Source organism: Homo sapiens, chromosome 2, assembly GCF_000001405.40.
Source record: "Homo sapiens chromosome 2, GRCh38.p14 Primary Assembly".
NCBI lineage: Eukaryota > Metazoa > Chordata > Mammalia > Primates > Hominidae > Homo > Homo sapiens.
Genome location: NC_000002.12, coordinates 187802679 through 187817663, shown reverse-complemented (window position 1 = coordinate 187817663; position 14985 = coordinate 187802679). Strand labels below are relative to the sequence as shown.

The 14985-nt window shown below is 34.7% G+C and overlaps 1 long non-coding RNA gene across 1 annotated transcript; it reads right to left on the bottom strand.

Annotated features, from left to right (window-relative positions):
* Positions 1-10953: 10953 nt before the first annotated feature.
* On the bottom strand, positions 10954-14062 carry LOC105373788 (uncharacterized). The gene is made up of 3 exons (XR_923683.2): positions 13548-14062; positions 11835-11916; positions 10954-11209 (listed from the first exon to the last, which is right to left on the bottom strand). It is a non-coding gene; the product is annotated as an uncharacterized LOC105373788 (long non-coding RNA).
* Between the last annotated feature and the right edge of the window lie 923 nt (positions 14063-14985).

Genomic DNA, 14985 nt, shown 5'->3' with positions numbered 1-14985 from the left:
GGTCCCCGGTGAAACCTGACCTTAAAACCAAAGACAATTTAAAGCCTGAAAACCTAGCTGCCAGTTCTGGGTAAAGTCCACAATTGGAGTGAGAACTTCCTCAGTGCCTTTTAGCCAGTCAAATGGTGCTTTATCCAGGCCTGCCCACGGACCAATCAACACAAACTCCCCCATTCTGAGTCCATAAAAGCCCTGGACTCAGACACACTTTAGGTTACCCACTTTTCGGCCCCCTCTCACACAGTGGCTTGCCCACATTGGGTCCCCTCTCATTGTCAAAAGCTTTTCTATCACTCTATAAAATTCTTCTTCACCTTGTTCACTCACCAGTGTCTACATAACCTAATTCTTCTTGACTGTGGGACAAAAACCCAGAGCCCACCAAATGACAAGTGTGAAAGGGGCTGTAACACTGTAACCCTCCCTCCCACTCACCAAGCAATGGGGAGAAAGAGCTGCTGGGTGTCACATGCCACCCCTTCATTTGTCACACTGTGGGCAGCAAGATTGAATGTAAGCTGTAACACGCACCCCCATGTGCCACACTGTGGGTGGTGGGAAAAAACAAGAACTGTAACAGTCCTTCGGGGGTCAGACCTCAGGACTCACTGGGTGAGAGCCATAGCACCCCTTGGGTCTCTGCAATTGCTGGCATCTCTGAGTTTTTGGGCACCACCATGTTCCCTTCATCCAGACACCTGCACCCGAGGCTGAAGCAGGTCACAGCATGCCTGGCCCAGCTGCAGACTAAACACAGAGCCATAGTGGGTGTCAAATCCAGGCTGGTAGCACAAGCTGAGTGCAGCTGCCAGGCCAAGCGAATGGAGTGAGCCCAGTGGCAAGCCCAGAGCTGAGCAAAGCCCAGGCAGAGGTGCTACTGGCTGCAGAGATTTCTGGCTGGCAAAGTAGCACTGAAAGAATCCTGTAACATTTTGACATAGACCAATAGAACTAATAGAACCAGGAAGGAAGAGTATTTCTTTCCATTCACACAAAAATGTATTTTTCTTTTTCTTCTTGTTGCGTTCAACATCTAATGGTTCTCAAATATATTTCATTTATAATAGAGTTCTCATAACATTTATTTATTATGTATTCTGATAAATAATCTGGCCAAAATGGCATTAAACAATGATCACACTTCCTGTTTAATTCAAATTATTAAAAAAAATTAGACTAAACTTGAACCCTTTTTTTTTTTTTTTTTTTTTATGAGAGACTAGGTCTTACCATGTTGCCTGGGCTGGTCACAAACTCCTGAGCTCAAGCAATTCACCTGCCTCAGCCTCCCAAAGTGCTGGAATTACAGGCATGAGCCACCATGTCTGGCCAAAAACTTTTAAAAATAATTAAAAATATACATGTAGCAAAATAATGCATGCAATTGTTTATCAAATCTCTTAAGTAATTACTGTCATAGTTTATTTCTAATAGGAGACAAAGTCATTTGCAAAATAATATTTAAAGAGTTTTTAATAGAAAATGCTGTCTCTATATATATCATGTAATCAGTAGATATTTATGAGAGGCATATTTATCAGACTGGATTTTTTTAAAAACTGGAATAAAAAATCCAGTTTGGCCAGTGGAAATACAAGACCATTCATTGCACTAATAATAATAATAAGCCAAAAGAAGATAGTAATAATAATAAACCAAAAGAAAAGCCACCAAATATCTGCCAATAGCAGAATGATCAAATAATACCGTATGCCTTACCCTATAACTATAAAAAGAAAAAATGTACATATATATATACATGTATGTGTATGCATATACATATATACATGTATGTGTATGCATATGCATATATACATGTGTGTATGCGTATGCATATATACATGTGTGTGTATGCATATGCATATATACATGTGTGTGTATGCATATACATGTATGCATATATATACACACACATCAGGATATATCTATATCTGACATGGAGTGAGCGAAAATCCAAATTTTTAAGACAGATAGGTAGTTACATAAAGTCTGGAAGATATGCATCACTTTTTTTAAGCCAGTGATTACTGACTGGAACAGTAGGATAGGAGACAGGCTTAGGATAATTTTGTTTTAACTTTCTACATACCTGTATTGTTTAAATCACTTTTTGTCTTATTGTTAGCAAATAACAACATATTAACTGCATATAAAAACCATTAAAAAGTTAAGAATAGCACATCAGGCATAGACAGCAATAAACAACACACTCATTGATGTTCAAAACTTAAATTTCTGTGCCAGGAAATACAAAAGGCTTGCTATCATTTAAAGTATACATTTCAAAATGAAGCCCTGATAGGAGAAGGTCACTAAATGGGACCTAGACTTACAGATTCTTGCTGAGTCACTTAGACTTTATTTGTAGGTGAAAAAGATCGATTTTTTTTATCTTAAGCAAAGGAGCAGAAAGTGACACAAACAAGTTTACTCTTTCAAATTAAGCAAACCAGATCATTACTCGAAGGTGTTAGAGGACGTAATGAACTTGGAGGTGGTGGAGGATAGGAGATTAAGAAGAGACACAAGAAGTTTACTGAAATAGTGCAGGTGAGAAATAATTAGGACCTGAAAAATGAGAATAGGTACAGATGATAAGTACAGTGTTTGAATGTTTTTTTGTTGTTGTTGTTTTGTTTTGTTTTTGATGACTGTGGATCACCAATGTTGATATATTGAGCAGATTTTTAGATATATGTATGAATTGCAAGGTGAAGTTCAAGACTGAAAAAGGAAGATTTAAGTACTTTCCAGGCCATACATAGAAATTAAAGCCATTTATATAGTGAGTGAAGTCCACCTGGGAGAGCATTAATGAGAGAAGAAAAGTGAAACCAGAGAAGAACGTTCAGAAATACAAATTAATTTTGTTAGGCTGAGGCAATGACGCTCCATGAAATGGAACAGTGAGAGTAAAAAGAGGAAAGGTATTAGGGAATGGAAGTAGCACAAGAGCTAAGAATGAGTCAATAGTACACAAAACAACATTCCAGAAATAATTAAAAATTAATAAGGATATAAAACAGTTTATTAGAGTATTAGTCACATAGAATATCATGATTTTATATTTTTGTGACTTGATTTAAATGGAAGAGTATAATTACTAATTAAAACCTTGACATTTACCTCAGTAAATTGCCACCAGAAATCTACGTTTTAACAAAATCAATGGCTAGAGGTATCATCTATTTCTAGATGACTATACACACAACATTGGAACACCTACATGTGCTATGCTTTCTAAGTATGTTAGGGTGAGTGGGTACTTAAATTTTCTACAACTTTAACCCAAAAGGCAAAATTTCCCAGAGGATAATGTTTAGAATTAACAAGACCAACTAATTAAATTTAATCAGGTCAACCCAAATGAGATAATTAGCATAATTAATTTTGATTTTAAACTGTCCCAAGGGGATGCAGTATTTGCATATTTGAGAGAAGAACTTCAATGAGGGAAAGATAGAAGGAAACGGGGAAATCAATTTAAAATGTAGAAAAGTGACACGAAGTAATTTGACATTTTATATATAAATTAATATATATAATTATATACATTATATGTTAATAATATATAAGTATAATAATATATTATTGCCATATATACTATATATTTTATATACATAATTATATATAAATTGTTTATTTATATATACTTTGACATTTTATATATAAGAAGGACTCGTTTTATTAGAATGTGTAACTATCTAAGTGTAATCAGAAAGACTTTTCCTCAAGTTCTGTCTTAGGAGGAGTGTTGTATTTACTTTCTATTTTAAAATGATCTGAGCATTTTACTTTGTTAAATGAATTGGGATGGCAAATAAAAATGTAAATTGGAATATATTTGTTGGAGTAAGGATCTTTAGTTCACAGTATTTGAGTTAATTTTGCCAAAGCATTCAACTCATTTTGAATAAGAAGCTGAGATAAAACAACTACACTCTATTGAGACAGTATTATATAGCTGTGATTAAGAGAAAGACCTACATTTTTCCACAAGTTAGTATCCTTGATGTTAGGATGTGTCTTATAACTGGTAGATATTTTTTCTTTTCTTCTGGTATAAAATACTGGTGATACCGAAAAATGATAGCGTCATAGATTAGATAAAATATGGTAGTGAGTAAGGCATTTCCCACTCTGAGATTATACTTCAAGAGTATAAACTAATTGTATCATGATTTCTTATAATATTTTTCATTTAAAATATACATAAATATAATAAGTACAAATCACTATATAACTTAAAGTATACATCCAGGTAACAATGATCCAAGTCAAAAAACTTTTTGTGATCCCTTCCATTTCTTCTAAGTGTAACACTTATTTTGACTTCTATGGCACCCTCTTTGTTTCTTTTAAATTTTTTCATCATGTATGTTTTCTAGAAAATGTAGCTTGATTTTACCTGTTTTTAAAGTTTAGAAAATGAAATTCTACTAAATGTATTGTTTTTATTTGCTTCTTATTCATATTCTTGCTGCTTCTTATTTATTGTGTATTCATTAAAAAATTTATTTCCATAATTCCTCCCATATCCTTACTGGGGAACAGGTGGTGTTTGACTACATGAGTAAGTTCTTTAGTGGTGATCTGTGAGATTTTGGTGCACCCGTCACCCGAGCAGTATACACTGCACACAATTTGTAGTCTTTTATCCCTCATCCCTTTCCCACCCTTTCCCTCTAGGTCCCCAAAGTCAATTGTGTCATTCTTATGCCTTTGCATCCTCATAGCTTAGCTCCCACTTATAAGTGAATTCATACAATGTTTGGTTTTCCATTCTCTAGTTACTTCATTTAGAATAATAGTCTGCAGCCTCATGCAGGTTGCTGCAAATGTCATTAAATCATTCCTTTTTATGGCTGAGTAGTATTCTGTCACACATACATAAACCATAGTTTCTTTATCCACTCGTTGATTGATGGACATTTGGGTTAGTTCCACATTTTTGCAATTGAAAATTGTGCTTCTCTAAACATGCATGTGCAAGATTCTTTTTTGTCTAAGGACTTCTTTTCCTTTGGGTAAATACCCAGTAGTGGGGTTGCTGGATCAAATGGGAGTTCTACTTTTAGTTATTTAAGGAATCTCCACACCGTTTTCCATAGTGGTTGTATTAGTTTACATTTCCACCAGCAGTGTGGAAGTGTTCCCTGTTCTCTGCATACATGCCAACATCTGTTTTTTTTTTTTTTTTTTTTGACTTTTTGATGATGGCCATCCTTACAGGAGTAAGATGGTATCACATTGTGGTTTTGATTTGCATTTCCCTAGTAATTAGTGATGTTGAACATTTCTTCATATGTTTGTTGGTCATTTGTATATCTTCTTTCGAGAATTGTCTATTCATGTCCTTAGCCCACTTTTGGATGGGATTGTTGGTTTTTTTCTTGCTAATTTGTTTGAGTTCATTGTATATTCTGGATATTAGTCCTTTGTCAGATGTATAGATTGTGAAGATTTTCTCTCATTCTGTGGGTTGTCTGTTTACTCTGCTGATTGCTCCTTTTGCCATGCAAAAGCTCTTCAGTTTAATTAAGTCCCAACTATTTATCTTTGTTTTTATTGCATTTGCTTTTGGGTTCTTGGTCATGAAATCCTTACCTAAAGGAATGTCTAGAAGGCTTTTCCCGATGTTATCGTCTAGAATTTTTATAGTTTCAGGTCTTAGATTTAAGCCCTTGATCCATCTTGAGTTGATTTTTGTGTAAGGTGAGAGATGAGGATCCAGTTTCATTCTCTTACATGTGGCTTGCCAATTATCCAGCACCATTTGTCGAATAGAGTGGCCTTTCCCCAACTTATGTTTTTGTTTGTTTTGTCGATGATCAGTTTGCTATAAGTATTTGGGTTTATTTCTGAGTTCTCTATTCTGTTCTGTGCCTATTTTTATCCCAGTGCCATGCTGTTTTGGTGACTATGGACTTATAGTATAGTTTGAAATCAGGTAATATGATGCCTCCAGATTTGTTCCGTTTGCTCAGTCTTGCTTTGGCTTTGTGGGCTCTTTTTTGCTTCTTAATACAATGTCGTGTTTGTGAGATTGAACCATGTCTTTGAGTGTACAGTACAAATAATTTTTTTGAGAATAAGTGGTCACTCTGATGGATCATCACTCCCAAATTCTCTACTGTGTGTTTCTATAAGAAGGACATCTTTCAATGTGACCATAAAACACCCATCCCAATCAGAAATATAGCATTTATCAATTACTGACTTCTAATCCTCAGAGCCTATTAAATTTTTGCCAATTGTTTGCAAATGTCTTTTATAGCAAAATAATCCAGTTAAGACTTACATATTAGCGTTCAGGTTGCTTTAGTTGTCAGGTATTCAGCCTTCTTTAGTTTGGAAGGCTTACCTGATGTTTCCTTATGATTAGATTCAGGTTATATACCTTAGCAGAAATAACACAGAAGAGACGTTATGTTCTCATTGCATCTATCAGATAAAGAACAATTTTTATTTGTTTCATTAGTTTTTTTAAAAGTGAAAGCAATTTTATTATGAAAGTAAAGGAATAAAGAATGGCTACTTCATAGGCAGAGCAGCCAATTTATTTCATTTCTGATTATATTTAATTTGATCATTTGAACAAGTTGGTGTCTAACAGTTTTCTCTTTTTTTCCTTTTAAATTAATAAATATTTTGTGGATAGGTACTTTCAAACTATGTACTTATGCACTTTTGCAACTTTTGTTTCTTATGCAACTTTTGATATGTTCATGAAAATGTTTATATTAGTATGGTCTCGTGGATTCCTATTTTATCCAATCGGTTATAATTCATTACTATTATTACATATTTTGATGCTCAAATTGTCCTAATTTCCTAGTGGGACCCTGTTCAAGCTGACTTCTGTGTCTTTTTCTCATGTTTCCAACTTTCTTTGAGAGCCTCCTTTATTTCTGACACAACGGTGCATTCTAGCCTTTTCTTGTAATCTCCCTGCCCCAGACCTAGAATCAACCACTTTCCCAAGGATCCAATATCTAGGTGCCAGGTGTGTGCACTGTAGACAGGTCCTCACTGTAGACAGAGCTAGGGAATACATGTACGTTTACACATGCAGGCACATATACAGAGAGCTGCATAGATAGATTGAAGGACAGGGAAGCTCTTCAAGGTTCATTTGAGTTTTATTCCTTTCCATATGTGTAACTTCCTTTTTGACAGGGAGAAACTACCTCCCATAACCTTAATTATTTACTTTTTAAAAATAATCATCCCTCCCTTTTCTATCACCTTACTGTGTGTAGCACCCAACACCAGGCCACGCCACACCAATAGAGAAGCCTTCCTGACCCAACTCAGGCTCTTATTCCCAACACCAGCTGTCCCTTCTTGCCAAGGTAGTACAGAGATTTCTCACTTACCCCACACAGTTTTCTTTATTATTAATGTCTAATGTTAGCAAGGTATGTTTGTTACAATGAATGCACCAATTTCAATACATTGTTAGCTAATGAATTCCATATTTCATTCAGACTTTCTTAGTTTTTGCCTAATGTCCCTTTATTTACCTAATGTTCCAGGATCCAATCCAGAACATGATATTACATTTAGTGTCCATGCCTCCTTAGGCTCCTCTTGGCTGTGAGAGGTTTTTTAGAATTTCCTTACTTTTGATGTCTTACATGGTTTTGAGGTGTACTGGTCAGATATTTTGTAAATTGTCCCCAAAATATGATTTTAATGATGGTTTTTTTCATAATTAGACTGAGGTTGTGCATTGTGAGTTGAAAGACCACAGAGCAAAAGTGCTATTTTCATCTTATCATATCAAAGGCACATACTACCAACCTGACTTAATAATATTGATATTGACCTTGGTCACATGACTAAGGTTGTGGTTGCCAGCTTAATCTTACTGTAAAGTTACTCTTTTCTCCCTTTCCACACTGTACTCTTTGGAAAGAATTCATAATCAGCTGCCAAAATTAAAGAGTGGGGAGTTATGTTCCATGTCATTGAGAAATAAGAATTTATATACATTATTTGGATTTCTTCTGCACACAGATTTTTGTATTCTTCCCATTTTATTTATTTATTCAATACTTACTTGATGCTACAGATTGTAATTCAGGACTTTTTTTTTTTTTTTTTTTTTTTTTTTTTTGAGACGGAGTCTCGCCCTGTTGCCAGGCTGGAGTGCATAGTGCGATCTCTGCTCACTGCAACCTCTGCCTCCCAGGTTCAAGTGATTCCCCTGCTTCAGCCTCCCGAGTGGCTGGGACTACAGGCATGCACCACTGCACCCAGCCAATTTTTGTACTTTTAGTAGAGACAGGGTTTCACCATGTTGGCCAGCATGGTCTCAATCTCTTGACTTCGTGATCTGCCTGCCTTGGCCTCCCAAAGTGCTAGGATTACAGGCATGAGTCTGCACCTGGCCCAGGACTAACTTTTTTATACCCTGCTCAAATTGTCTTAGCCTTCCGTATTGTTGAGAGATCTTTCTGTTGGATCCTACATCTCTTTGATATTACCTCCACCATTCGTTGTGGGTTATTTCTTTTCTCTCCTTGTTTTTAAACACTATTACTATCTGGCAATAAAGATCTTTCAAGATTCACCTATATTCCCTTGGTTTCTTTGATCAGAAAATAGCATTAGAAACCATGATTTGAGTACTAAATGTGCTCATTTCTACTGCTGTGCCATGGCTTCTCGGCCCTCTCAGTTGACAGATCAGGAGAATATAGGTGTGTGTGCTAACGTGTGTCCATACAGATACCTATAAATATTTTTATGAAACCACCTGTATCTGTATTAAGATAATTGTGAATTGATATGGCATCTTCAACTATAATCTATTACCACATTGATTATTTTAGCCTCCTCCCTTGCTTATCTGTAACTTCTTCCTTCAATAGAGACTTGGCTCATGCCATCTTTTATCCATTTGCTTAATTGTTCAATCCCAGTTTACATGTAGAGCAGTATCAGAGTCCTTAGCCCACAGAGTACAGTAGTTTATGTACTTTCTTTTAACTTTAGTTTTCCTGCCTACTTAATTCAAAGTGACTTAGTCCTGTGCCTTTTCCTCATTCCCTTCAGGGAGGTACTTTCATAAATTTCTTACAGAGTTAAATTATTTTACCACATTCTGAATTCCATCCTGGGATACCAGACATATGAAATAATTTCTTTAAATTTACATATATTAAATTAATTCTTCCTGTTGTATAGTTCTATATGTTTTGACATATGCCTAGTGTCATGAGTCCACCATTATAATATCATACAGAATATTTCCTCTTTCCTAAACAATCTCCTGTACTTCAATATTCAATCCTCTTATAGTCCTCTGATGCCCTGACAACCACTCATCTTTTTATCATCTCTCTGATTTTGACAATCTCATTATGTTATATTATTGGAATCCTGCAGTATGTAGCCTGTTCAGAATGGCTTCTTTCACATAACAATATGCATTTAGATTATCTCCCTGTTTTCTTGTGCCTTCATAGCTTATTTTCATTAATAAATAATATGCCAATGTTCGGATGTACCAAAGTTTAGCTTTTCTTTCATTGAAGAATATTTGGTTGATTCCAAAGTTGGTGATGATCAATAAAGCTGTTATAATTGTTTTCAGGTGTCATATGGACATACATTTTTAAATATATTGGGTAAATACTAAGTGAGTGTTAAATTGCGTGGTAAAACTATGTTTAGCTTTGTAAGAAAATGTTAAACTGACTTAAAGTAGTTGTACCCATTTCTGTTTGCACTTGTAGTGAAGGAGAGCTCCTATTGCTTTGCATCCTCCCAGCAATTGGTATTATCAGGTTTTATAAATTCATCATTCTAATGGTGTATAGCAGTATCTCCTTGTTTTAATGTGCAATTCTTTAATGTTAGTGGTGGTATCTTTTCATATACTTATCTGCCATTCGTAGCTCTTGTTTGCTGAGGTGTCTGTTCAGATCATTTGTGCATTTGTGTCTTTTTTTCTTATTGTTAATTTTAAGAGATTTTTATATAATGGGGGTATAAGTCCTTGATGAGATATGTGCTTAAATATATTTTCTTCAAGTCTATGGCTTGTCTTTTTGTTCTCTCCACAATGTCTTTCAGAGAACAGAAGTTTTTAATTTTAGTAAAGTCCAAATTATCAATGTTTTTCTTGCAAGGATCATGACCTGGTGTTCTATCTAAACACTCATTACCAAAATAAAGGTCACATAGGTCTTCTTCTGTGTTTTCTTGTAGAAGTTTTACAGTATTTCATTTTTATATTTATATCTATTATCCCTTTCCAGTTGTAATAGTAAGGTCTGAGTCTAGGTGTATTTTTCTGTAGATGGACTGGGGTGCTGACTTCCATGGTCCTTACACATTGAAGCTGATATGTAAAACGTGTCCCAAAGGACATCTTTAATAAAAAAAGTAAGGTGTGGAATCATGTGTATAGTTTGTTACTTTATCTATAAAAGAGGTTATTTTATCAAATATAACTCTCTCTATATACATACATATATATGTATGTATCCTCTACATGGTATCAGTGTAAATCCTATTTTATATATATATATATATATATAGAGAGAGAGAGAGAGAGAGAGAGATAGCTTTTAATGGCCCTTATTTTTCATGTCAAAAAACACAATTAGTTTAGTACCAACCTAATTTTTGCAATCTTTCTCTCTCTGGAGGATTATATTTGTTTCTCCCTACCTAATGAATTAATAAATACAAAACAAACTGATTAAATGTTGAGGAGAGGGGACATTGGGCTCTGCATACATAATAGACAGGGGTAGAGGAGATATTTTGGCTTTGTGCATATATATATATACACACACACACATACACATACATACATATTTAATTGTTAGATTTTTAGTACTAACGTATTTCTTCCTAAAAAAAAAAAAATAGAAAATTGGGTAATTTTTTAAATGTTCCAAATACTGTTTTCTTTCTGTGTGAATATTTCCCAGTTTATCTTTTCTCTTTCTTTCTGTCATCCTTTCCCCTAGTAATTAACAATTTCACTTTAGGATACTGGTATGAGGTTCTCTATACCTGCTAAGGAGTTACTGAAGAAGTCTCCTGTTTGCGTCTCTCCATTTATATTGTGTGTGTGATATCCTGGCAGAGAATCACAGAAATTGTTGCTCCTGTGTATGATTACCTTGAACTACGGTGCAATGATAAAATGTTTGATAGATGGTCCTAAATTGATTATACGCTTTCTCTGTAAATGAAATAACAGAGAGGAAGCCCAATTTATACATACAGGAAAATGATGGAATGTGTCTGTATATCTTACTAACTTGGAATTTCTAGAACAAGTTGGAATACTATTGACATAATTATTTTATAAAGATCAAATTTGGTTAACTTCGTATTTTATGTTTAAAATAGCAAAAGAAACACAGATGTTTTGCTTATAATATCAAAATAAATAATTTCTGTGGAATCTAAAATTGACTAGTAAATCTGAATTTTATGTTTCATTAAGGCTGAATATGTCTCTAATACTTATTATAGATACCAAGACAGATTCATTATTATAGACTACTTTACAAACTTTACTGCTGAACCTAATATCTTAGTTATTGCACACTTTTAATACAGTATACAAAAATGAATGAAGATTATCTATAGTGCCCATAGATGAGAATTAACTTATTTTTAAAGAAAACGCCTCAAAATATGGCTCAACAGTCTTTTTCAAAGACACATCCTCAATGTCTGAAGCTATTATTTACAGCTAAACCCTATTGTGACTCTTATAAGCATAAAGAAGTGGTATGCACTTCTCTAATACTGAACCCTATCTATTTGAAAGACCATTGTAAAGTCAGACTGTGACTAACCTCAATTCCTTTCATCTTATAGATTTTGCTTGCATACCCCAAATACTGGATTTAAAAGGAGAAAGTATTCAACCTGAGGAAGCTGATAAAAAAAGAAAAGCAAAAACAATTGAGAAAGTAACAAATACAGTTGAATTTGGCAAATATGTATTGAATGATGACTTTTTGACAGGTACAATAGCAAACATTAGGGCTATAGAGTTCAATATGGTAGGATGAAAATCTGTATTCTACATTCTGAGAACTCTACCTTCTGATAAGATATGGATATTGGCAATTTGAATAGTGTCTGGAAGCATGAAAAAGAGTAGTCATTTTTTTCAAATTCACTAAGTGTTCATTTTGGGGTTCATCTAAAAGGATAAATTGGGGTTTGGTCATGTAAGTAAGAGAATTGAGTTGTAGAATTCTACCTTAACATCTCTCATACATTTTTTTATCCACCTTTTCTCCCTTAGTTCAAGTGGTTATCATTTAGAATACTGCTATACTATTATAAATCTTAACCCATGCCTTGGTTTTGTGAATTTCCACTTTAGTATCTGTTCTGCTGGAAGGCTGACAATGTGCAGTTATCAGAGAGGAGTAATTGTTACAACAGGTTACATCTCTTATGGGACTATCAGTCACCTACATTGTCACCTACATTGTAGTTTGTTCTAAACTATTTTCCAGCAGTAAAACAACTAATTGTGATTCTTGTTCGTTCTTCAAACTCAACTATTGTTAGTACACATTTCCTCCTAGACTTTTAGAAATAATTGATACAAATTTTATATTTTCAAAGTTCTTTCTGTTTTAAGTTTCATTCAAAATATTTTCATGGGTGTTTGGAAAAAGAAAAATCAAACAAAATTAGTAGTGATGCCATTAAAGCAAAATTATATGTACTTGAAAATTTCTGAATTTTTAAATGATATTCTCATGAACTTCACATATTAATTGTATTTACTCGTGGAATTATTAAAATAGTTTGACAAATTTAAGGAGGAAAGAAAGAAAATAAGACAAGAAATAAAGAAAAAAATTCAAAAAGTGAGAGGGAAAAAGTAGTAATCAAGTAACTAAAATTTCTACCTGCAACTTTTTCCAAGGTGCTTATTATCAGTGTAGGTCTAATAAAAAAATACTGCTATGTAAATAGGCAAGTTGAGACATAAATAATTGATTCCAGATCTTACGCAGTTCACGTGGAAAGTGGTCCCAATACAATTCAACCTTGGTTGCTAATAATAACTTTTTTTTTATCAAGTGCATGGATCTCTAAAAAAGAGTATAACCCCAAATATTTTCTAATTCATTATTGATCTCTTTCAAGTAGCCCCTCTTGGCTCTACATAGCATCAGTGCAAATCCTATTTTCCTATACCCTTGTCTCAAATGCATAGAAGACTAGTATATCTAACATAAATTCTCCCAACAAAACAAAGAAATATCCGAAAGGTGTAAGTCTAAAGCCATTCAGTATCTTGCTCACTCTTCCATGAAGCAGAAGAAATGAAGTTTATGATAATTGATGAAAAAGAATGTGTAATAAGCAAGTAATTTGTTTCAATGAAACTATCTGATTCATTTTATTTGAGGCTCTTTATCTAGAAGAATGTGACCCTGAATAGGATGTATAGGTGCCTCTTAAAGACAGATAAATTAGTGACAATATTCAAAATTCTTAGGACTGACCCATGAATTGGCCCTTTTTTAGGTAATACTTACATCACTACACCTGTCAAAGGAAGACCATGAAGTTTTTGAATCTGTGGTTATTTAGAGGAACTTGCAGCTTTTTCCAAAACCGACTTTGTTTCCACGGCAACAGGAATTATCTGTCGAAGTCTGACCTTTCCTTTGCATAGTTTAGTTTTGACAGCTATGTGTGCGCTGTTTTAGAAAGCACATATAACCCAGAGAATCTTAAAAAAGATATACAAAGTGGAAAGCAATTGAAAATGCTAAGCTTTAAAAATACAGTTAAGGTTATGAATTTTTTAATATGACTTATTTTAAGCTAGTGTTACCTTATGTTTGAAACTCAGAGCTGAAACAAGATGTGGAACCATTTTAATTAAAATTACAGGTAAATTTTGTTACATAAGTAAATATTAGAAGGAAGACAAATGCTTGTATAAGGAAACAGCTTATTATGGGCATTCATTAACAATGATCTAAATGGCCGGGCAGGGGGGCTCACTCCTGTAATCCCAGCATTTTGGGAGGCCGAGGTGGGCGAATGACATGAGATCAGGAGTTAAGAGACCAGCCTGGCCAACATGGTGAAACCATGTCTCTACCAAAAACTACAAAAATTTGCTGGGCGTGGTGGCCCTCGCCTGTAGTCCCAACTACTGAGGATGCTGAGGTGGCAGAATCCCTTGAATCCAGGAGTCAGAGGTTGCAGTGACCCGAGATCGCGCCACTGAACTCCAGCCTGGGCAACAGAGCGAGACCTTGTCTCAAAAAAATAATAAATAACCTACATATATAATCATATATTGGCAGTGCACTTCACACACATTATGTTATCATAAAGATATAATTAATACAACTCTAGAAAGTAGATGTCATTATCCTTTTTTTTTTTTTTTTTTTTTGAGACGGAAGTCTCGCTCTATCGCCAGGCTGGAGTACAGTGGCGCGATCTCGGCTCACCGCAACCTCCACCTCCCGGGTTCAAGCCATTCTCCTGCCTCAGCCTCCCGAGTAGCTGGGACTACAGTAGCGTGCCTCCATTCCAGGCTAATTTTGTATTTTTAGTAGAGAAGGGGTTTCACCATGTTGGCCAGGATGGTCTCAATCTCTTGACCTCGTGATCCGCCCTCCTCTGCATCCCAAAGTGCTGGGATTACAGGTGTGAGCCACCGCGCCCAGCCTATCCTATTTTTTAGTGGAAAAAGGATCCATCATGCTAAAGGATTTCCCAGAATCACCTGCATAGTATGTAAATACTGAGTTCATGTCTTGGACATTCTAAAGCCACGTTCTTGTAATTTCAACCTTTTAAATTATGAACAAATCAAGTAATACAAAGCGGTAAAAAAATTTTAGCTAAAATACTAAGAATCATCTAGATTTACTTAATTATTAAGTATTTGTTTTAAAATAGTCATATGTTTATCCTCTGCTGCATCCAAAAAGGTGATTTTAAAAAATGTTC